This window comes from Homo sapiens, chromosome 14, assembly GCF_000001405.40.
Source record: "Homo sapiens chromosome 14, GRCh38.p14 Primary Assembly".
Taxonomy (NCBI): Eukaryota; Metazoa; Chordata; class Mammalia; order Primates; family Hominidae; genus Homo; species Homo sapiens.
In genome coordinates, this window is record NC_000014.9 from 106,859,637 (window position 1) to 106,883,718 (window position 24,082).

Consider the following 24,082-nt stretch of genomic DNA (forward strand, 5'->3'; position numbering starts at 1 on the left):
GCATGTGTTACAAAATACTGAAAGTGATTCCTGTGTGATATCCACTCCAATCATGAAGAGTTTGAGGCTGCCTTTTTGTTACATCTTTTCCACAGACTCTTGTGATCTTCAGCAAGGAAATTGGAAGGAACATCAGCAGAAAATACTCCTCTTGAATCATATTGGAAGGAATCTTATCAGATACTTTTAACTAACTCGCTGCAGAAAATATTCAGGCAGTTAATTGTTGGGTTCATGTTTTACAACTAAAGAATAAATTCAGGCCAGATGCAGTGGATCATCGCTATAATCACACCACTTTCAGAAGCAAAAATGAGGGAAATCCCGTGAGACGAGGCAATCGAAGCCAACCTGAGCAACATAAAGAGATGTTATTTCTCTGAAAAAATATTTTAAAGAATAAGCAGGTGAGGGGTGGCGTTCCCCTCTACTTCTAGATACTCAGGAAGCAAAGATGGGAAGATTATGTGAGCCAGGTGTTCAAAATTACAGTGAGCTTTGATCATACAACTGTTCTTCAAACTGTGCAACAGGGTGAGAGCCTGTCTCTAAAAACAAATAAAAAAGAATCAATAAAGAATTCCACACAACTGTAAAGCTACTCAAATAGGAGATATTAAACTGAGCATCCTTATAGATTCTCTGGGGTTTTGGATGTTTTTAAGCAGATAGCTGGCCTAAGACCTGCAGAATAAGCTGATAGTCCTTTGTTGTGAGAAGCTTCTACCCAAGACATTAGACCAGGACCCCTCTCTAATTCCCCAACCCCTCCTCCTTTTTCTCAATATTATTTGCTTATATTTATAAAGTCATTGCATTCCTGTAGACCTCCATGTTGTCCACCTGCATTGAACCCTTATCTTTTTGCTTATTCATTATTTTTATTCTTGCTACATAGAATAAGTTGTCACAATATTTTTGATGCATGACTGCTGAGGACTTAAGGCTCACTCCTCTATCATCTCCTCTTTTGTCAAACAAGGTGAATCTAGTTTGCAATCACAGGAGCTTCTTCATGTGATGCCATTGGGAGTTTCAAACCCTATAAACCCCTTTCTGTGAGTGGGAAGCCTCACTCTGCCCCCACCACCAAACCATTATAAAAACCCTGAGTCAGTCTCCATTCCTCCTTTACCAAGCCATTTTAGACAGTCCTGAGAGAACTGCCCTGCTCTCAGCAGACACCTCTACAGTGCAGATAATAAACCTCTCCATATTCACTTGCTCTGAGTGTACGACTTCATCAGACAAAACATCCACACTAAATCTCAGTTGAGATCTCTTGACTTTGCATGGTGTCAAATACTACTGATGCTGTGAGCTCAGTGTCACGGTTTCTATCAACAGGACACACTGGATTCCTGAAACAACTCCAGGATAGAGCTGGACATATGATATGCATTGGCTTTGTGTCCCCACCTAAATATCATCTCAAATTGTAATCCCCACATGTCAAGGGAGGGACCAAGTGAGAGGTGATTGGATCACGGGGGCAGCTTCCCCATGTTGTTCTCATGATAGTGAGTTCTCACAAGACCTGAGGGTTTAAAAGTGTATGTCACTTCTCTCTCTCTCTCTCTCACCTGCTGCCATCTGAGACGTGCCTTGCTTCCCCTTCACCTTCCACCATGATTGTAAGTTTCCTGTGACTTCCCCAGCTGTGCAGAACTGTGAGTCAACTAAACCTCTTTTTTCATAAACTACCCAGTCTCACGTAGTTCTTTATAGGAGTGTGAAAATGAACTAATACAACATGCCTGGTGGGTTTGATAAACTTTCTTAATGTCGTAGAATTAGTCCATTATTTTGCTGTATTCTAATGTTTCTCTAAAAATACAGAGATGCCTAGGGCTCGTTGCTGTGTATTTCAGGTGTCTCTGACATTTCATGTATTTTATTTATCTCTGTCTAACTCCTTTTCTACCAAATTATACATGTTATAATTAGTGCTATCTTTAATTAGGTTAAATTAAAAAATATCTTTATGAAGTGTTCAATTTTACTAATATTGTCCCAAACATAATCATTATCAACGTAGATAACAAGTCAATTTCCTTAAAATTTTCTCTTGTTCTGTAATTTCTCCTTCCTAGACCTTCCCTTTTCCTACAATATTCACAGTGAGCTACTGATTTTTGTGTAAGTTTAGATTACTTTTCATTTTATGAAATTTATAAAAGTTGTATCTTATGTAAGTACTTTTATTTGTTTGGCTCATTTTACTTATGAGAACTACTTGTGAATTTTGCCATGCTGTTGACAGTAGCCAACATTAGTTGCTTGTAGTAGTGGGTAATATGCCAATGGATGAGTTTTCCTCAATTTCTTTACCAATTAAGCTGATGACTGACATTTGAGTTGTTTTTCATGCTGGGTATTATAAGCTGATGCTACTCAGCTTAGAGAGGTACACAGCTGGGAAACACATGGTTCTTTTTTTTTTATTGTGTTACTTATGTTTATTAAAATAAAAATGTACTTGCTTTTAGTCAGGAAGGCAATGAAAAGAGTTTTAATGAGAATCACCCTCATTATGATAAACATGGAATATTTTAATTAATAAAAATAAACTTGGAGTCAAAGTAAACCTTATGCATTTTATGAACAGTAATAGGTTGGGAATGAATACAAGCAGCAAAGTAGAAACACAGTATTTTTTCAGGGAAAGATGAGACATAAATATCAGAAGGCCCCCTCGCCTGCCCCACCCTCCCAGCTCACAGTTCTTTAACTACAGCGTGGATGACTAGAGTCAGAATCTCCTTCTAAGGCATTTCTCTGTTCTGCAGAAGACCAAGCATAGGCTGGGCTCATGCTGGAGCTGGGTAAATGTTTGTGGACAAAAGAACTAATTAATTAATGATGCCCCGTCCTACATTTCAAAATTGGGCAAGCAAATATTATCTCTACATCCATTTGGTGGCTGAGAAAAGTGAAGCTCAAAAAGCAGAGGTGACTTGTCTGAAGTTAGACCATGAGAGAGTGGGGGGCTTAAAGTATGAACCCAAATACCCAGTATCTTGATTGACCCCAGGCTGCCTCCTCTGCAGGACAAGAGCAGCATATAGAAGCAATGATAAATAAGCCTGATAAAAAGATTGTTTTCTTAAAAGATCATTCTTCAGGATCCTGATGACCTAATGAGATAATCAATATGATGGCAATTTATAAGCTCCTATGAGGTAAGCCAATGTTAGCGGAAGTTACTTCCCAGGGCTAATGACCAGTTGAGCAGTCATGACCCTGAGTGTGACATTACTGAAACCATTCTTTAACCCAAACTGACTAGAATTTTTCAAGAAACCTCCAAAAGTTAGCACAGTTGCGAGTTACAGAAGGTTCACACTCGGTTTGATGTGACTTTAAACCTGAGGCATCTGCCCTGTGATCACTGACTTCTCCTGAATCCTATTAAAGCCTTGATTCTTGGAGCCAAAATTCTCCTGGGAGAAAATATGAAGGCAGCTTTTTGTCACTGTCATTGTGGTTAACTGATGATCCCTGGGTATAGCACTAATATGAAATATAAGGGAAGTAAAAAAGTTTCACTATTTCCAGGTGTTTCTAGAAAATAAGGAGGTGATGGTGAACTGTGATTTCAGAAAGAAGAGGACAGAGCACTAACACACTGACTAAGCCATACTACATTGCAGACCCCAAGCGAGCTCTTTACTCACAGTATCTCCCTCACCTTTCTTTTTTTGTTTATTATACTTTAAGTTTTAGGGTACATGTGCACATTGTGCAGGTTAGTTACATATGTATACATGTGCCATGCTGGTGTGCTGCACCCACTAACTCGTCATCTAGCATTAGGTATATCTCCCGATGCTATCTCTCCCCCCTCCCCCCACCCCACAACAGTCCCCAGAGTGTGATATTCCCCTTCCTGTGTCCATGTGATCTCATTGTTCAATTCCCACCTATGAGGGAGAATATGCGGTGTTTGGTTTTTTGTTCTTGCGATAGTTTACTGAGAATGATGATTTCCAATTTCACCCATGTCCCTACAAAGGACATGAACTCATCATTTTTTATGGCTGCATAGTATTCCATGGTGTATATGTGCCACATTTTCTTAATCCAGTCTATCATTTTTGGACATTTGGGTTGGTTCCAAGTCTTTGCTATTGTGAATAATGCCGCAATAAACATACGTGTGCATGTGTCTTTATAGCAGCATGATTTATAGTCCTTTGGGTATATACCCAGTAATGGGATGGCTGGGTCAAATGGTATTTCCAGTTCCAGATCCCTGAGGAATTGCCACACTGACTTCCATAATGGTTGAACTAGTTTACAGTCCCACCAACAGTGTAAAAATGTTCCTATTTCTCCACATCCTCTCCAGCACCTGTTGTTTCCTAACTTTTTAATGATTGCCATTCTAACTGGTGTGAGATGGTATCTCATTGTGGTTTTGATTTGCATTTCTCTGATGGCCAGTGATGATGAGCATTTTTTCATGTGTTTTTTGGCTGCATAAATGTCTTCTTTTGAGAAGTGTCTGTTCATGTCCTTCGCCCACTTTTTGATGGGGTTGTTTTTTTTTTCTTGTAGATTTGTTGGAGTTCATTGTAGATTCTGGATATTAGCCCTTTGTCAGATGAACATTGATGCAAAAAACCTCAATAAAATACTGGCAAAACGAATCCAGCAGCACATCAAAAAGCTTATCCACCATGATCAAGTGGGCTTCATCCCTGGGATGCAAGGCTGGTTCAATATACGCAAATCAATAAATGTAATCCAGCATATAAACAAAGCCAAAGACAAAAACCACATGATTATCTCAATAGATGCAGAAAAAGCCTTTGACAAAATTCAACAACCCTTCATGCTAAAAACTCTCAATAAATTAAGTATCGATGGGACGTATTTCAAAATAATAAGAGCTATCTATGACAAACCCACAGCCAATATCATACTGAATGGGCAAAAACTGGAAGCATTCCCTTTGAAAAAATGGTTCTTATTCTTACAACCTCACAAGCAACTAAGCTTGAAAAGCTGCACATTAATCAAGTTTATTAAATACATCAGGTAATAAAAGGTATAGATTTATGTGTGTTGTGGGGTGGGTGTACGTCAGTTTCTGTGTGAGAGAGAGAAGGCAGGAAGGAAGGCAGAAAAAAGAGAGGAATATTACATAATTGACCACAGTTTATGAGGTCCTCAAGAAATTACAGGGAATTAGTCCTTATGGACAAGGCTGACATAGATGGAGAGGACAACTTGACACACCTAGCTATGGTTATATATTGATATAAATATCATTTTCTTTTTTTCTCTCTTTTTTTTAATGGAGTCTCGCTCTGTTGCCCAGGCTGGAGTGCAGTGGCACATCTTGGCTCAACGCAACCTCTGCCTCCCAGGTTCAAGCGATTCTCCTGCCTCAGCCTCCCGAGTAGCTGGGATTACAGGCGTGTGCCACTGGGCCTGGCTAATATTTGTATTTTTAGTAGAAACGGAGTTTCATCATGTTGGCCAGGCTAGTCTTGAACTCCTGACCTCAGGTGATCTGCCCGCCTCAGCCTCCCAAAGTGCTGGGATTACAGGCATGAGTCACTGCACCTGGCCCCAAAATATCATTTTCTAGTCATACAAACACTCACATGTGTTAGAACATGCATTAGAACAGATGTAGTGGAGGGTGTCTAGTGGTGAAATATGATGGTGACACAAAACCCCTCATCCAGCCCCTTTTCATCCCAGCTTCACCTGCCCTAAGGCTGAGCCTTGAACCTGCTCTTTCTGAGTCCTCACAATGGTCCTGAGCCCCCTGCTGTACCGAGCACCCTCTGGTGTCCTGATTTTCCTCGATGGTTCCTGAGAGCCCCCGGCTGACCTGCGTGCCTCTACAATGGTCTTGAGTGCCCCTTGGTGTCCTGAGAGCCCCCTGGGGACCTGAGCAACCCCTTCTGTCCTATGCACCCCCACAGGGAGGTTTGGGTGTGAGCTCACACTGTGATTCCCTCACTGTGTCTTTGGCTTAAAAATACATGGCTATGTGCTTGTTGCTCATGTAGCTCAGCTGTAGGAAGAACTGCTTTTTTGGACACGGATCTGGGGATGGTGACTGGACACTTGAGGAGTGGGTGGTAATGTGTGCTCCCTTCATGACCTATGCACCCAATCCACTCCATTCCCTTCCCTGGGGGGCTGATGGATCCAGCTTCAGCAGGAAGACCTCGTTATCATGGGGAACACAGACACAGCGCAGGTAAGGGAGAGGGTCTGTGAGGGCTTCACCAGGCCAAGAGTGCGCTGAGAAACACAGTTGTTGGCATGCACAGGTTCTGGGCAATACATTGAAATTCTCAAATATGTACATTTTTATGAGAATAAACAGCTCACTTGTGTTCAATTTGTGAATCTCCTAGAGCAATGCAGCAGATTCTGAGGTTAGATTCAGACAAATATAGGGTCACGTTTTTCTCCATAGTTGGAACCAAATTATAAAGAGAAACTTATGTCAGTAGAATGGGCATTGAACTATCTCTGTCTATGATAATGGTGATGTTCAGAATAGGATTGGGATGTGACAACCTGAAGGGTGTCCTAATTATTAACCCACAATTAGACCTCAGCAGCAATCACTGGCAGTGGAGGTCACCCACATGGAGAAATGTCTGACTCACTGAAGCTGCACCTGGGGGTCTCTGCAGGCTCTGAGTTGTACAGGAACAGCTCCTCCCTCAGACTCAGAGTGAGGACAATCTCTGCTCTTTCTCTGGGGGAGGTGAGGGTTAGTATGAGGAAAGAACCAACCTTACTGTAATCAAGATCTCTGTTCTTAGACAGAAACCAAAGAATATGAGAAAAAACTGATCTCAGTTTAAACAGAACAATTCATCATGAGGAAGGTAATAATATGTCTGGATGCTGCACAGAATTAAGAAACAATGAATTTGGGATAAGGTTGAACATTATTTTGCAAAGTCTGTTTTTTTTTTGTTGTTTTTTTTTTTTGATGGAGTCTCACTCTTGTTGCCCAGGCTGGAGTGTAATGGTGTGATCTTGGCTCACCATAACCTTCACCTCCCGGGTTCAAGCGATTCTCCTGCCTCAGCCTCCCTAGTAGCTGGGATTACAGGCATATGCTACCATGCCTGGCTAATTTTGTATTGTTAGTAGACATGGATTTTTCCATATTGGTCAGGCTGGTCTCGAACTCTCGACCTCAGGTGATCTGCCCGCCTTGGCCTCCCAAAGTGCTGGGATTACAGGCATCAGCCACCACGTCCGGACCAGACTCTGTTCTTAATTATCTATGTCATCTGAGAAAATGAAGTAAAATCATGGTTTTTATATAAAAATTCACAAACTGGGTGCTGGCCCTGAGAATCCACCTCCCATCTCTCCAACATCAGGGAGCCCAATAGACCAGGCAGCCAGCTGCTGCACTGCACTCTAACACCTGTCACCTGGTGTGTGCCAAAGACACCCAACCTGGGAGCTCCTCCCAGACAATGGCTGTGCACAGCGGAAGTACTGAGGCATGGCTGCTGCTGGGACACATGGGAGATTCCTGATGGACAACTGAGCTCTGGGAGGCACCAGTGGCCTCGCTGAACTTAGCTTGGACCCAGGGTATTTAGGTAAGCTCCATCAAACTCCCACTCTTCTCCAGCACTAGTGGTGAGATTGACATTCTGGGGTGGCAGTGTCTACAGCCTCCCTGGCCTCCTGTGCATTTTTATGCCTCCATTACTTACATCTGCCTTTGGGACAAATGAGAATGTTTCCACTTCTTATAATAAATTTTTCTAATCCAGAGACCTCAGGGATGGGCACAGAAACATAAATGTCAAGAGGCTCCCAGGGGAACTGTTGGATGCAGAGAAAGCCACAGACCCTGAAGGAAAGTAGCCCATGACGACCGTCTGCACCTGCCCTAGAGCTTCCCCTGTTTTCTGTGGGTCTTGAGTGCTCCCTTTATCCCAGCCTCCTCCCTTATCATTACAGGAACCTCTGTGTCTGTGTTCACACTGATGTCTTCTTACCTGGTGCCTCACATACAGTAACACACAGCTGTGCCCTCTGCTCTCAGACTGTTCATTTGCAAATACAGTGAGTTCTTGGCATTTTCTTTGGAGACGGTGAATCTGCTCGTCACAGATTGTGCATAACATATCTGACTTCCATCACACTGTATATCTACTACTCACTCCAGCCCCTTCCCTGGAGCCTGGGAAACCGAGCTCATTCAGTAGCTACTGAAGGTTAATCCAGAGGCTGCACAGGAGAGTCTCAGGGAACCCCAGGTTGTCTTGGGTCCTCTCCAGACTCCACCAGCTGTACCTCACACTGGACACCCGTAAACTCGTAGAGATCCTGGTGAGAAACTGCCTGACATATCCACTGTTTCTCTCAAATATATTCACTCACACTCTATTTCTCTGGTTTACCTTTTAAAATAACAACTGTGAAACCCAGCTCAGCCCAGACTCCATGATGGGTCCTCTGTCTTTAGTCCTGATCACAAAACGGAAACCCCTGGGAATCCCAGGGCTGGGGCTTCTCTCCCAAACCTACGGGGTCAGGACTGGGCTGGTTTTCATCAACAAAGGGAGAAACCTGTTTGCATGTCTCCTACTGTATAGCAAGCTCTGGGATGGGAATCCTGAGGAGGGGCAGGGGTCAGAGCAGACAAAGTGCCTTGGGGGAGATTGGTAGTCATCTTATCACTCAGGAAAATATCATTTTATATTATGTGATCATGCCTTGATAACTATTTAGCAGTCATCATCTTATTTCATTTCTACATATTTGCAGAATACATTTAATGCAAGTGTCAATGTTACATTTTAAGGAATTTACATTACACACAGAACAGAGTGGCTGTACAATATGGTCAAGATCACACAGCTGGACAGAATTAGTCCCATTATCCATGCCTGTGCCTCTGACCACTAGAGAAGACTGCTCCCCTGAGACAACTCCAGGGCAGTGTGGGACATGCCTAGTGAGGTTTGCAGGATTCCACCCCTGCCAGGATATCTCTGTTTTCTTTTAGTGTATTCTGTTGTTTATCTGAAATATATATAGAGAGAACCAGTGTTCATACATGTGTACTTTCAAAAGTCAGCGATGTTTCAAGTGTTAATAGCCATCTATTTTTTGCTCCTCCTCAACCAACACATTCATTTGTTTCTTTGTTACTGCTTTTTTAAGTACAAAATTAACAAATAATTAATTCAAATATATACTGCACAATTTGGAATATGTTAATGTATGTGTGCAACCCTTTAATCAGGGTTTCAATTAAGTCGTGTGCAATTAAGTTAACCTCTAAATCTTTCTGTCACTTCTCTGTAATTTCATCTCAACACCCCATTACTTTCAACACCCAATTCTCACCAAATTCTCTTCTCTGTTACTTTAGAATAGTTTTACCTTCTACAGTTTATACAAATAGAAGTTTATGAAGTGCACTGTTAATACTTTAGCTACTTCCACTCAGCGCAGTTATTTGTGAATGTAGCCATGACTTTATGTGAATGAGGATGCCTTGATTCTAATGCTGCATTGTACTTTACTTCATAATCTTATGTCAAATTGTTTAACATTCACCTGTAATGGATATGGATATTTGATTTGTTCTCTTAGTTTCTGGCTTTTATATAGAAATCTACTCAGTGTGGGAATGTGAAAAATGAGGAAACTATGATCTTATTCTGTCCTCATTAACAACAAACCTGAAAAACTGTGAATAAAGGAAGAAGAAAAACCTGTAACATTTGTGAGTTAGTTTCACAGAGAAAGCAAGAAGACTGAAATGTGAGGAGAGAGAGGCCTGCAGAGAGGACTGGGGCCCACATGTTAGTGAACCCAGGGCAGGTGCCACTGGATGGCATTGAGAGAGGAACAGGCTAACCTGGAAATATTTAGTGAGGATTTTTTTTGGATGCATGTGCTAATGGTATTAGAGTGTGAATCTACTAGTCCTTGCAGGCTTTTCCCAGGAATTTGAAAAATCCACAGTCAACTCCCTTATCTGCTGTCCTGTGGTGCTGACAGGAAGGGAAGAACAGCGAGGACTGTTGAACGCCTGGATCCACCTCCACTGTCTCCAGGGGAAATCCAATCAAACCTGTGACCTATGGGGTGTGGTGGAGTCAACAGAAACAAAAGAAAACAGAGGATTCCCAGGAAACTCCATCTAGAAGAAATCCTTAATCTGCAGGGTAAGTACAAAGGAGGAGAAGCTGAGGACACTGGAGAGAAACCATTATGGTTGGGAAGACACTCTACCCCTGGTGGAAGAGGTACAGACAGGAAAATTTGGAAGGTCACCCTCAGAACCATGATTACTACTCAAGCCTAAGAAGAAGGCTGATTTGGAAGGTTGGAGAACGTCCCCATTTGTTCAAGCCTCTTCTCCACATGGTCAACTAGGTCTGTAGGAAATGACGCAGCTGCATCAGCTCCATTCTGGCCTCTGTCATGTGACAGTTTTTTGTGGATTTGCTTTCTGCTCTCTCATTATTTGTTGCCTCTCTCAACTCCTAGCTCCATTCTCCTTTTAATTCTCACTTTATTGAAGAGATTCTTACTTAGCTTAGAACATTAAAATCCATGGAAGTAATTTTCATCTCAAACCTACCAAATCTAATGAGCTCTCTCCAGGGTTGCCCATCTGTTTTTTTCTTCCTTTCCTATGGGGTATGGCCCTTGTTTCTACCTGAGTCCAGCTCTTATTTTCATATGCATGAGGAGTCCAACCATCACACACCCAGGGACATCTTGGGGGAATGTCCCCTACCATCTGTCTCCTCAGCCGTCATGTGCACAGTGGCCACTCTGTCAGCTGCTGTATGTGCTTTAGGGCTTTCTGTTTAAAAATGTCTTTCTCTAGCCCCCCAAACAAAATTCCTGGACCTTAAATACTTTCAAGATCCCTTTGTTGTTAATATTGTTTTATTCTGTTAAAATCCACTGGGAACCTCAGTGACAATGGAGGTGACCAACCTACCCATCCCATTGTCTGACTTCTGCCTGACGGACCCACCCATGAGCTTTACTCCACTGCTCTGCAGCTGATGGGACCATTTGGACCTTTATTAATAAGAGGTGTGTAATTTATTAGAGAATGACTGAGATCAGCAGGTGCCTGAGTGCCTCAGAACACAGGTGTGGTCCTGCAGTAGAGTCTGTGTAACTGAAATCACATGTGTGTATAGCTCGTGGCCTCAGCCCAGAAGCTGATGCCAGCTTCTGGCCATTCCTGGGTAGCCCGATGAGGGGTGTCCAGAGAAGGATGGAGGCAGGATATGGGTTTTAGAAAGTGATGTGGTGTTAGGGGCATTGTCAGCCAAATTTCACTGAAAGTCTATTCTGCTCTTTGTACTTGGGGAAAACTGGAAAGAAGGGAATAAAACTCAGACCCCCTGTAGCTCCTCATTTAGGAAGAGATTTAGTGCAAATTTAGAAGGTTGAAGGAATAGACTATACTTTCAGGGATCATTTCTATAGTTCATTCGAGGAGGTTGAAGAAAAATAGTGATGTCGATGTGGTTTTCTTTGACATACTTAGGAGACAGCAGAAGATGGTCAGTGGTCAGTCTCCATCCAGGTGGTACTCACTGTCCATTTGTTATGTCCAAATAAAAGATAAAAGACAACTTTTGTGGCACAGACACCAGGGTTGGTTTCAGAGACCTTTCCACCAAAAATGGCCAATGGTGGCTCACACCTGTAATCCCAGCACTTTGGGAGGTGAGGCGGGAGGATCACGAGGTCAGGAGATCGAGACCATCCTTGCTAACATGGTGAAACCCCATCTCTACTAAAAATACAAAAAATTAGCCAGGGTTGGTGGCGGGTGCCTGTAGTCCCAGGTACTTGGGAGGCTGAGGAAGGAGAATCACTTGAACCCTGGAGGTGGAGGTTGTAGTGAGCCGAGATCGTGCCACTGCACTCCAGCCTGGTGACAGAGCGAGACTCTGTCTCAAAGAAAAAAAAGAAAGAAAGGGCCTTGACACATTTTTTTATAAGAGTTACTATTTTTGCCTACTTTATATGGAAATCTGAGATGTGCCCAGCCTCAGGGGCCTGCTTCTCCTTCTAGGAGACAAAGCTAACAGAGTTATGTAGTATTAGTCTGTGTGGGTCTTCACAAGAAGACAACAGGAGTGGGTGGCATAAACAACAAATACTGACTTTCTTACAATTCTGCAGTCTGAATGTCCAAGATCACGGTGCTGGCAGGGTGGTTCTTGGTGCGGCTTCTTCCTGGCTTGCCCAGGGCCACCTTCTAGTCCACTGTGTGTCCACATGGCCTCCTTTCTATGTGCACGTGAAAAGTGAGAGGTCTCTGGTGTCTCTTCCTCTTCTTATAAAGACAACATGTCTATTGCTTTAGGGTCTCACACGTATGACCACATTTAACCTTAATTATATACTTAAAATTCCAATATAGATCCACTGGATTCAAGATTTCAGTATATGAATTTCAAAGAGGGCACAATTCAATTGACGACACAAATAAAGAGATGGTGAGAAGCATTAGAACTTTTTTTTAATCAAGAAGGAAAAAAGGGGCCATTCAGGAACTCGTAGGAAAGTTCCTAGTATTGTTGATACTTCGACTGTAAGAGGAAAATTTGTCTTCTTCCTTTTATTTTTTTTTAGACGGAGTTTTGCTCTTGTTGCCCAGGCTGGAGTGCAATGGCACGATCTCGGCTCACAGCAACCTCCGCCCCCCAGGTTCAAGCCGTTCTCCTGCCTCAGCCTCCGGAGTAGCTGGGATTACAGGCATGCGCCACCACGCCTGGCTAATTTTGTACTTTTAGTAGAGACGGGGTTTCTCCATGTTGGTCAGGCTGGTCTCGAACTCCAGACGTCAGGTGATCCACCCGCCTCGGCCTCCCAAAGTGCGGGGATTACAGGCATACACCACCGCACCAGGCCTGTCGTCCTCCTTTCTTGCCTGCCACAAGGATGTGAGGAAGCAGAACCACAGATAAGAAAGAAAGAGGAGCCCTGGAGACAGCTGAGGTGCTGGCGAGGAGGGAGAGCCCTGAGCAGATGAGGAAGCCCCGCCCTCCCTGCACCTGCTCCTGACCCGGCCTCATGCTCTGTGGGCCCCGCGCGCCCCCTGCTGGTCCTGAGCGGCACCTGCGCCCGCCCCCTCCGCCTCCCTGCGGTCACAGAGCTCAGCTTCAGGGAAAACTGGTTCTTGGACGTTTCTATTGACATGGTGACTCAACTCCTGAGGGACGGGGTGTAGTAGCTCCTCCCACTATAATAGATGTATCCAATCCATTCCAGCCCCTTCCCTGGGGACTGGCGGACCCAGCTCCACCAGTTACCACTGCTGATGGAGTCACCAGAGACAGCGCATGTGAGGGACAGGGTCTCCGAAGGCTTCACCAGTCCTGGGCCCCACTCCTGCAGCTGCACCTGGGACAGGACCCCTGTGAACACAGAGACCCACTGTGAGCCCTGGGCTCAGATGCAGCCTCCCATATCTTCATATCTGCATCCTGGAGACACTCACTTCTGGGAGCTGCCACCAGGGGGAGGAAGAACCACAGGTTTTTCATGTTCTTTTCACACGAGGTCCATGACTCTCAGAAAGCATTTCCCGTGTAAGCAGAACGCCGAATTTAAGGAAATGTGTGGTGGTTTCCTGTGGGCGCTTAAGTGAGGATTTGCATGTGGGTGGTGCCTTTGTATGGAGAGATGAAAAGGGATGAGGGAGGCCGCAGTCTTTCGGGTTCACCCTGGGAGGAGGATGCTGGCTGTGCCCTCTGAGAACTCAGTTCTCTACCTGTGGCCTCCCCTCACCAAGCACAGAGTCCTCTTCATCCAGATAGGAAATGTGTTGAAGGAGCTGTTCTGGGAGATGAGTGTGATCATGGATCAAGGACAGATTTTGGAACAGGGTCAATATTGTTCTACACTTAAAGACTCATGTAAAACCATCCACACACCCAAGTCATTCGAATTGTCATTTATACCTTCAGACACATTGAAACAGCAGCTGAGTGTAATAATCTCAGTGAGTTCAGACAAACCTGGATGCATCCAATGTTTATCGTAGTTCTGAATATCCATCGTAGATATCTTACCATATGTAAGAAATGGTGTATGACCATTTCTTACATAATGGGAGTTGACTGTAAAAATAGCATGAAGATGTGTAAATATAATGCCTAGGTAGATAAACTGCTGAATTAACAAAGCCTGGAGCCAATTATATTCTGGCATCTTGTTATTTAGTTGTGAATTTATTTTCAGTTGGTTAGTTCAATTTCCCAAAATTCAATTTCTGCTAAAATAGTCACATACAATAACCTTGAGATATTAAAATGAAAAAAAAAACTAATTTGAAAATGAACCCAGCTTCCAGAAGTGAGAATTACTTTGTGGTGAATGGTAAGAAGGGTGGAGACACAGCTGAATACCAAGATTGTGTTCACAATTGTTTTAATTAGGGGAACTTCTATACATCCCTTCTATTTATTAGAAACTCCCATTGAGAACCTTGAACTAACATAATTTGTTGATAGATTACACAAAAACAATGAAGCTGAAGGTTATTAAGCAGGAATTGCTATTATAAAATTAGCTTTCCTTTAGAACATATTCCTGTACCTGATGTGAAATTAGCCCAGGTGCACTGATGAGAGCTTGTCAGTTAAGCAAAGAGCAGGAAATGGGCTCACATGTGTCTGGAGCAGGGCATGGCTTTGGCATGTTTTGCTAACAAAGTGGCTTCTCACATCTTCTGGAAAACCCATTAAAATGGGCAAGTTAAGGATCTCTTATGAGCACCCGTCTATTCCACATTCTTGGCTAATATAAAGGTGGATGTCGATGCAAAATGAGATAAGATGGAAGTTAAGGAAACTGCTGCATCACTGCCTCAGCTCAGCACAGCTGCCTCCCACATCAGGATTTCTGACACTCTCAGGATGTGGGTTTCCACATGGTGTATCTCGCACAGTAATACATGGCCATGTCCTCAGCCTTTAGGCTGCTGATCTGCAGGTATGCTGTGCTGGCAGAGGTGTCCATGGAGAAGACAAACCGTCCTGTGAAGCCCTGGGCATATGTTGGGTTCCCAGTGTAGGTGTTGAACCATCCCATCCACTCAAGCCCTTGTCCAGGGGCCTGTGGCACCCAATTCATACCATAGGTGGTGAAACTGTAACCAGAAGCCTTGCAGGAGACCTTCACTGAGGCCCCAGGCTGCTTCACCTCATGGCCAGACTGCACCAGCTGCACCTGGGAGTAGGTACCTGTGGAGAGGACACAGGGGTGGGTAAAGCCTCACTTGAGTGGCCTGGTTTCTTCCTCAGCCCTGAGACTGGGGAGCCCCTTACCTGTTGCTGCTGCCACCAAGAAGAGGATGCTCCAGGTCCAGTCCATGGTGAGGAGCTGTGCTCTAGGGGATTCTCCCAAGGAGGGATGTTGTTGTTGGGTGATGCTTTCAGGGTACAGAGATACTATATTCCCCTCAGTTATTTGCATATTCATGAAGGATGCTATTTAATAGACCAATTCCTGACCCAGTATGAGAAAGAGAAAATCCATGACACACGGACGACACAATTGTAGAAGCTGAGGGTTCGAGTCGTAATCCTGTTAGAGGCCATGCATCCCCTACCCATCCCTGAACTCTGTGTTGACAGAGCTTCCTCCACTGGGGAACAACTCCCCGAGGACAGCACCTCACTTTGAACCCACATTTGAATGTCTCAGGGGCAACGTGAACCATTTCTAGACCTTAATATGTGAATGCGTTATTTTGGGAATGAGTGTGTCTCTCCAAAAATTGCACTTATTTATAAGTAATAATCTCTTCCTGACCTCCAGCTGCTATTATTAAGATAACTAGCAGAGTTTGAAATCGCCATTATAAAAGTGGTTCTCATTACAACATCCAGTTTGATAAATGCTCACAATTGAATAGGATATTTATACAAACATCAGCAGTCCTTGTGAAATACTTATTTTAGATATTTTTAAAGGAAGTCCCAGGCCCTGAGAGGAACCTCTCCCCAGCCTCATGTGCACCTGCTCTGGGGCGGAAGACTGTGCTCGATGTGTCCTGAGCGCCCCCTGCAGCCCTGCCCCCACCCTGCAGGGAGGTTTCTATCTGAGCTGACAGAGTATATTCCTACCAGTGTCTCTAGCCCAGTATAAAGTGGCTGTGCCCTGGCTCAGAATTCTGCTTTATTTACACCATATGCTTCTCACACCATCTTTTGAAATAGTGAATCAGCCTTAGGAAACCCAGCGAACTCTGCAGGGACACCCCAAGAAAAGATCTCACGCATCACCAGGGAGCCGTTTCCTGGAGCTCGAGAGGCACTGAATCATTGGACACATGGTGAACCCAAACACTCTTCAGGGGTTTGGGGGGACTCTTATTTCCTTTAGGGTTCTGCAGTTGATTATTGTACCTGATAATACCTGTAGGCGCAGGTGCATGTGGATAGAAGCCCACTCCAACTCTACTATTCAACTCAGACACACACACACACACACACACACACACATACACATTGTGGCTAATTTTTACATTAGTGGGCCCCATGTTTGCCCTTTTTTCTGGTATTTTTCTCATGAAAAGCACTCCCTACACTGGAACTAAGACTGAATATGTGTCTACTTTCTGCAAACAGAATTAAAGAAAACAGAATACAAGTGCCTTGCCAAGATTAATATAACTATGTAATTTAATGATGTATTTGAAAACCTCCTGGTCATACAAACACACATACGTGCACAACAGCCCAGCAAAGACTCATACATGTGCCCATGCAAAAGTGAATGCATACGTAAACACCAAAACAACACACCCATTTGTTTCATATTATTCTAATTATTTAATTGAATTTAAATTGTGTTTGCAGTTTGAGATTTTAGTACAAAATAATGCTGATCTACGTGTATGTCTGCCTATTCCAATATTAAAAAGACAAATATATTTAAATACATGTTTTGGTAAAACTGTATGTAAATGCCATTCTTGTCAAGTATTGAAACAGGAATTAAAAGAAATTAAAGAATGTGTAAGCAGAAACTCAGTTGTATGTAAGAAAACCCAATTCTCCCTGAAAAAGAGAAAGAGCTGGAGTCCTTTAAAATACTAACTGCCTGTTTTTCTGTGGCTAATGAGCCTTACCTCTCCTCCCTTCTCAGGCATTTTGAAGACCCTGATTCCCTAGCAGTGTAGCTGCAAGGTCACTAGAAAGATAAACTCAAGTCGCAAAACATGTTTTTCCTTGAAAAGGAAGAAATGATGTAATACATGTTTCAATTGAATAACTGTCTTTGTTTCTCACTTCTGTAGTATGCTTCACCCTGCACAGATGTCCCCTCTCCCACCCCACAAAATGCTTAAAAGGTAACTGAACTCTGTTCTGGGCTCAGTCCTTTGGATGTTAATTCGACTTGGCCGGTGCACCTAAATAATAAATATCCTCCTGAACCTAAATAATAAATATCCTCCTGAACAGAGTCGGTCTCTCTGATTCCTTAAAAAATCCCAGAACAGTATGGCACTTAAATGTGCAATGGTATTTATTTTAAATATCAGTCTGTTGTTAATAAATTGAATAACTAATAAGACAAACATCACTTTTAAAACTGTATTACCTTATTTGTTGAATTTAGATGGTAATTTTCAAACTAGGCAAGATAAAATTTTTTACTTGAAAAGTTTTGAAAAAAACTTCTTTGGCATGAATATTCAATACAAACTGTAGTCTTTATTTGCCAACATGCCTTTATAATAGAGAACATCCAGCAATATGAAGCTAAACCCAGCCCATGCTTTTTAGGGCTCACTCACAATGGCAGCTTCCTAGAGGGTGGTCTGAGAGAGTGTAAGCACATGGGGATTTGGGCTTCATCATCAAAGTGAAGAAGTAATTTATGAATTTTACAATATGTAAAGCCAGAAAATTAACTTTCCCCTCAGGGCTTACTGTAGTGTGTAGCCCCTCCCCCGTAGTCTAAGTTAGAGAATACTAACTGCCTGTTTTTCCTTCTGTGCTCAGTGAGCCTTATCTGTTCTCATTGGTTTCACATTCCTTGAGGCTCAGAGGGTTCTTGCTTACCTCCCCAGCACAGCTGCAAGGTCATAAGATTGTTAAGTATATGTTACAGAACCATGTATTCCCAAGGATGTAAGACATGAAGTAACAAATAACTGCCTTTGTTCTCTCTTCTGTAATTACGCTTCCTGCATCATGTAGCTCCCAGCCACTGACTGTGTAAAAGGTGGCTGCTTTCTTTGTCCAGGGCTCAGACTTTCCTGGATGCTAGTCCAACTGAGCCAGGTGATCACCTTTTAATAAAGGACTCTCCTGAACTCTGTTTGGTCTCTCCCATCTTTGATCGTCCTGCAACAAAAGCACTAGGGAGCCCCAGGGCTGAGCACACAGAAGGCAGCAGGAGCTGCAGAGCCCACTCTGTCGTACTTAGGGAAGGGAGGGAATGGAATGAGGGTGATGTCTGCAGGACCTTAGAAAAGGGTGAGGAGGGCAGAGAGTCTGCAGGTAGATGAGCATATTCTAAGGAGAACTGTTATCCTCCTAAACTTGGTTGGCTTCAGTTATTATGAAGAGAAGGAAACTGTTCACCAGACTTGGAGGACAGAAAGTAAAGGGAATTTTTATTTCCTGCATGGTGACTGAGGAAGATAAAAGACTTTTAAAGTAAAAGGGAAGATGGAGAAATAGTCTGAAAAACAGGACACCAGGAGCCAACCAAAGTGGAGAACAAGAGCCTTTAAAGTGGTGTTTAATTTCCATTCCACTTTCAGCTGATGAAAGAAAAAGAAACAAAACACCATGCATATGGTGAGTTAATGTTAGAAAACATATATAATTGTTTGAGTATCACAGCACAAAAACACTAAACTCTATTCATGGAAACAATGTGTATCGAGGATACACATTTTTTAAGACAGGGTCTCACTCTGTCAACCAGGCTGGAGTGCAGTGGTACAATCACATCTCACTACAGCCTCAACCTCCCAGGATTAAGGGATCCCCCCACCTCAGCCTTCCAAGTATCTGGGACCACAGGCAGCATCACACCCAGCTATTTTTTTTGTATAGAAAGGATTTCATTGTGTTGCCAGGCTGTTCTAAAACTCCTGAGCTCAAGTGATCTGCCTGCCTCAACCTCCCAAAGTGCTGAGATTGCAGGTGCAATTTTTACAATTTTACTCTTTTAATAATAGTATTTTAATAAAATATATAAATAACCTATTTTAAAAATTGTTCTGACAGATCATTGCTAGCGTTACTCAGAAAACACGCAGCATTAAAACTTCAAATAGGCTGGGCATGGTGGCTCACGCCTGTAATCCCAGCACTTTGGGAAGCCTAGCGGGGCAGATCACCTGAGGTCATGAATTCGAGACTAGCCTGGTCAACATGGTGAAACCCCGTCTCTACTAAAAGTACAAACATTAGCCAGGCATGGTGGCAGGCACGTGGTGGCAGCTACTCAGAAGTATGAGGCAGGAGAATTGCTTGAACCCGGGAGTTGGAGGTTGCCATGAGCCAAGATCATGCCACTGCACTCCAGCCTGTGCGACAAGAGGGAGACTTTGTCAAAAAAAAAAAAATTCCCGGTTCTAAGTTAATGTTTTGGAAGTAACATTTGTAAAGAAATCATGGATTTACAAGGAAGTAATGGTTCTGAGCGTCCCCTGGTGTCCTGAGTGCCCCCTGGTGGCTCGGAGCACCCCCTGGTGTCCTGAACACCCCCTGGTTGTCCTGAGCGTCCCCTGGTGTCCTGAGCGCCCCCTAGTGGTTCTGAGTACCTCCTGGTAGTTCTGAGCGACCCATGGTAGTTCCAATCAGCATCTACCATGCGATTCCCTCCTGTCTCCCTGCAGAGGATTTTGTGTCTGGGCTCACGCAGATGTTCCTGCTCCTATGTCACTCACAGTAATACAAGGTCTTGTCCTTGGCTTTCACATTGGTCATTTTAAGGTAGACTGCACTTGAAAGGGTGTTGCTTGGGACTGTTAATTTACTTGTACTCATGGAGAGTAACCCTGATAACTCACTGTTGCCACCCACACAAATCCCTGTCATGAAGCCTGCTGGACCAAGCTCATGCTGTAGCCAGTACAAGTGAAATCAGAGGCTTTGCAGGAGAGTCTGTGAGAACCGCTGGGCTGTACAATGTTTCCCCCTCTGACTCCATCAGTAAGCTTCAACAGGACTTACATGAACACAGAGGAAACGTACTGACTGCAGCCCCATGCAGAGCAGCCACAGCTGGACCTGATTCACAATGCACACTAATACTGAGAGTGATGAGAAGGGAAGCCCAGATCAGTGCAGACCTCATGGTGTGGACACTGAGGAAGGGACAGACATGGGGTGGCTCTTCACCAAGGGCCTGAAAGAACAGAGGATGAGCTGCGTTTCATGAGATGGGAAGAGGCACATTTCCATGTCATTCTTTTTGTGATCATGGGTGCACTGCTCAGTTTTTCTCATCCATCCTCTGTGTCTCCATTTCAGGGAGGGTAGGGTCAAAGGATTCCCGGGTCTAGATGCACAGGGTTAATCTGCCCATTACTTTCTCTTATTCTCTAATGTGGACACTGTTCAGGTATCTTCATAGTAGCAAACATTAACAGCAAATACATCCAGTAAGAACATAAAAATACATTTCCAGAGAAAATGGACGTCTGTCTTTAATCAGTGCATTTGGAGCTGCAAACTACTGTTCTTAAAGTAAGGCAAAGTTAAATTACAATGAAAAAATGGAGATCTACATTTTGTCAGTAAAGGGTTTTATAATTATCATTATCTTGAGATCATGTTGCCACAAAACATCTCATCACGGGTCAGGTGAGAGGTAGCTCTGTGCTGTGTCATCCTAACACAGGAATCCAGACGGAAGGAGGGACCATCAATAAGATCCCCATTGCTATAGAAAAGAGAAAAAAGCATGCAGAATAGAACTCTGTTTCTTGGAGATTTCTCCTGAAAAAGTCACATGTTATTTCTTCTCACCTCCATTGGCAAAAAAAAAAAAAAACAAAAAAAAAAAAACAAAAAAAAACTCATGTGGCCATTAGAAAATTTAAGTAGGTGGGATGGAAGAGTCAGAATGCATTCATAAAAAATGAACTGAAAATATTTGGAGAACAGCACCAATGACTACCATGAATGCCAACATACATCCCTAACAACCCAGTGCTGTTACCCTCCAAACTTTTTATGTCTTGCAAAGTATTAGAAGTTCATATCTGAAGCCATACCACTCAGAGGGAATGCAAAATACATAATGACATCTCCTTTAGGATGTCCTTAGAGAATTCAAGGAAAAGAAGTTAAATAATTTAAAAGTGCCTTTGGGTACAGCTATTTAGCACTAGACGGTAAGATTAGACATAGATTGTAAATATAATAATAGGGTTAGGGATAGGATTAGGATCTGGTTCAGAGTCAGGGCGGGAAGTATGGTTAGAGGTGGGGTCATGGTCAAGGTCAAGCTCAAAGTCAGGGTCAAAGTAAGGGTCAGAATTAGGGACCAGGGTAGGGATCAGGATTTAGGTTCAGGGTCAAAGTCTTGGGACAGGGTTAGGGTTAGGATCAGAACCAGAGCTTTGTTGTCCTCAGGACCCACCCGAGCGTGGGTCACCATGGCTTTGGAGTAAAAATAGTATTGAAAAATTGAAAAGTAGGCATATTAAAACTTGCAACACTATTTAAGCTTAGATATATTATTTGTATCTCATCAACATTTTTTATTTTGTTGAGAAAGTCTAAGGTTAATTGGCAGCATATTTCTAATAGTAGATAGAATAATGTCTGTTTTATAAACATTGACATCCTACATTACATGTGTGAACCCTGAAAATCTGAGAGAGCTCTCAGATTTTTTAGAAAGTTTATTTTGCCAATCTTGAGGATGTGCACCCGTGATGCATCCTCAGGAGGTCCTGACAACATGGGCCCAAGGTGGTTGGGGCGCAGCTTGGTTTTATACACTTTAGGAAGACATGAGACATCAATCAGTATGTGTAAGATGAACATTGATTCAGTCCAGAAAGGTGAGAAGGCCAGACAGGGGGCTTCCAGGTCATAGGTAGGTAAGAGACAAATGGTTTCATTCTTTTGCATTGCTGATTACCCTCTCCAAATGAGGCAATCAGGTATGCATTTATCTCGGTGAGCAGATGGGTGTCGTTGGATGGAATGGGAGGCAGATTTGCCCTAAGCAGTTCCCAGCTTGACTTTTCCCTTTAGCTTTAGTGATTTTGGGTCCCCAAGATTTATTTTCCCTTCATAAGGTTTTCCTATGAGCATTAATTATTCTTTGTTTATTTTATTACACAAATAAGGCACAGATTTTTAAAAAACCATCGACTTTGTGGCTACCTATATAGACATAATTACACAGAAGCTCAATTAAATTTGCAAACATTCCAGAGTTTGGGTTTCCGATAATTCTTTGTGATTCTTTAAAAAGTAAAGTATTTTTTTCCCATAAAGCATAGCAACATTTAAAATCACCTGTAGAATGTCCTGCCATTTTTGTTTTTCTAATTTCCTCATTTGCTGCAAAGCCTCGCTGAGGAAATTGACTTTGAATATCCTTTTACACTCTTTTGTTTTAGAAAGCATTGTGGTAAAACATTGAATCATCATGGTCATAAGTTCTGTTCACATTCTTTCTTTCTTTGAATATTTTTTCCTGGTGGCAAATATTTGATTCTGTTGTATTATGCCTAAAAGGTAGGCATGGGAACAAAATAAAGACAAGAAGTCTTTGGAATAAGTCATCCCATCACAATGAATCAATTTGCCATTGGAACATATTTTTACAAAGTCACTCTTTTGAAAATATTTAGCTATGAATTGAAACAGAGTCTGTATGGTTAATGTTTTTCCTGGTCTAAGGCGAAGAGCATTTCAGAGAATGAACCCAGGACACAACCACAGCACAAGAAAAAAATATGATAATTAAGTTTACACATATGTGTTACTACTGTAACAGAAAACATGTAAAGAACATTTGTTTTGATTTATATATCAGTCTGCACTGTTTAATTTTTTGTGTCATAAATGCTCTTATTTTAAAAAACGGAATAGTTAACAGTGTCAATTACTAGTAAGTCATGGTATAAATAATTAAACAAGGAAGTGTTCAAAAAAAGTGTTTTAAATAAAGTTTTATTTTACATCTTTTTTTTACTTACACAGAAATTGTCAAAAAAAGCAGAAATTTCCCATGTAGCCGCAACCTAGTTTCCTCTCTTAACATCTTCTATCAGTGTGTCTCACATGGCTTATTAATATCTTACATAATTTGTCACAATTAATGAACCAATACTGATAGACTATTATTAACTAAAGTTCATATTTCATTTGGGTGTTACTCTGACCCAAGATCCCATCCAGGATCCCCCATGACATGTAGTCATCATGTAGGCTCTTCCTGGCTGTGACAGTGTGTCAGGCTTTCCATCTCATGATGATCTTGATAGTACTGAGGAGGATTGGTCAGGCATTTTGTAGAATGTTATTTTACCTCCTTGTCTGCAAGAGGGCCCGGCAGTGTCCGCAGCTGCCAGCAGGCGGGCGTGCTGCCACTACGATGTGAGCAAGAGGGCCCTGCAATGTCCCTAGCTGCCAGCAGGCGGCGTGCCGCCACTATACTGCAAGCAAGAGAGCCCTGCCGTGCCCCGGCGCCAGCAGTGGGCGCTGGACACCACTGTCACCTACAGGGCCCTGCAGTTGCCCTAGTCGCCAGCAGGGGGCGTAATGGCACAGCACCGTGTGCAACTGGGTCCTGTAGTGCCCGGCTGCAAGCAGGGGGCGCTCGAAAAAGGCTTTTCAGATTACTCAGGTTCCACCCGTCTCTGCGCCGCGCCGCCGGGGACGTGTGTCTCTACACTTCACCGTGCCACCCCCGCGCGCCCCGCCTGTCGCCATCCGACTGTGCGCCTGCAACACGGCCCGCCACCCTCAGCCCAGCGACGTACGTCTCTGCGCCTGCACCGCGCCTCAATCCCGCCCGCCCAGCCACCACTCCCCTCCGGGGATGCGCCGGCGTGCGTCCATGCCCTGCGAGGCGCCTC

General features: G+C 43.2%; 1 long non-coding RNA gene, 4 pseudogenes, 1 gene segment (V, D, J or C) and 1 further gene, besides 2 other annotated features; 1 reads left to right on the forward strand and 6 right to left on the reverse strand.

Moving 5' to 3' along the window:
* The window catches only part of LOC124903399 (uncharacterized), a 32,160-nt gene extending 13,826 nt beyond the window's left edge, over positions 1-18,334 (forward strand). The window contains exons 2-3 of the long non-coding RNA XR_007064370.1: positions 4,561-10,190; positions 12,637-18,334. This is a non-coding gene — a long non-coding RNA (uncharacterized LOC124903399). The remainder of the gene's footprint in view (positions 1-4,560; positions 10,191-12,636) is intronic.
* The window catches only part of IGH (immunoglobulin heavy locus), a 1,293,408-nt gene extending 1,273,200 nt beyond the window's left edge, over positions 1-20,208 (reverse strand).
* IGHVII-78-1 (immunoglobulin heavy variable (II)-78-1 (pseudogene)) lies at positions 5,985-6,259 on the reverse strand (annotated as a pseudogene). The gene is given in 1 exon segment: positions 5,985-6,259. A coding segment is annotated over 1 exon segment (275 nt).
* IGHV3-79 (immunoglobulin heavy variable 3-79 (pseudogene)) lies at positions 8,004-8,456 on the reverse strand (annotated as a pseudogene). The gene is given in 2 exon segments: positions 8,004-8,319; positions 8,412-8,456. Coding segments are annotated over 2 exon segments (361 nt in total).
* Positions 13,061-13,140: a silencer, noted in NCBI's record as "silent region_6254". NCBI's record gives its function as "represses an Ori minimal core promoter by ATAC-STARR-seq in GM12878 lymphoblastoid cells {active_cell/tissue: GM12878}" and the evidence as "EXISTENCE:reporter gene assay evidence [ECO:0000049][PMID:35858748]".
* IGHV4-80 (immunoglobulin heavy variable 4-80 (pseudogene)) lies at positions 13,147-13,550 on the reverse strand (annotated as a pseudogene). The gene is given in 2 exon segments: positions 13,147-13,421; positions 13,505-13,550. Coding segments are annotated over 2 exon segments (321 nt in total).
* On the reverse strand, positions 14,945-15,381 carry IGHV7-81 (immunoglobulin heavy variable 7-81 (non-functional)). The segment is given in 2 exon segments: positions 14,945-15,251; positions 15,336-15,381. Coding segments are annotated over 2 exon segments (353 nt in total), but the record flags the coding sequence as incomplete, so codon positions are not given.
* IGHVIII-82 (immunoglobulin heavy variable (III)-82 (pseudogene)) lies at positions 19,917-20,208 on the reverse strand (annotated as a pseudogene). The gene is given in 1 exon segment: positions 19,917-20,208. A coding segment is annotated over 1 exon segment (292 nt).
* Positions 20,159-20,208: an enhancer, noted in NCBI's record as "active region_9152". NCBI's record gives its function as "activates an Ori minimal core promoter by ATAC-STARR-seq in GM12878 lymphoblastoid cells {active_cell/tissue: GM12878}" and the evidence as "EXISTENCE:reporter gene assay evidence [ECO:0000049][PMID:35858748]".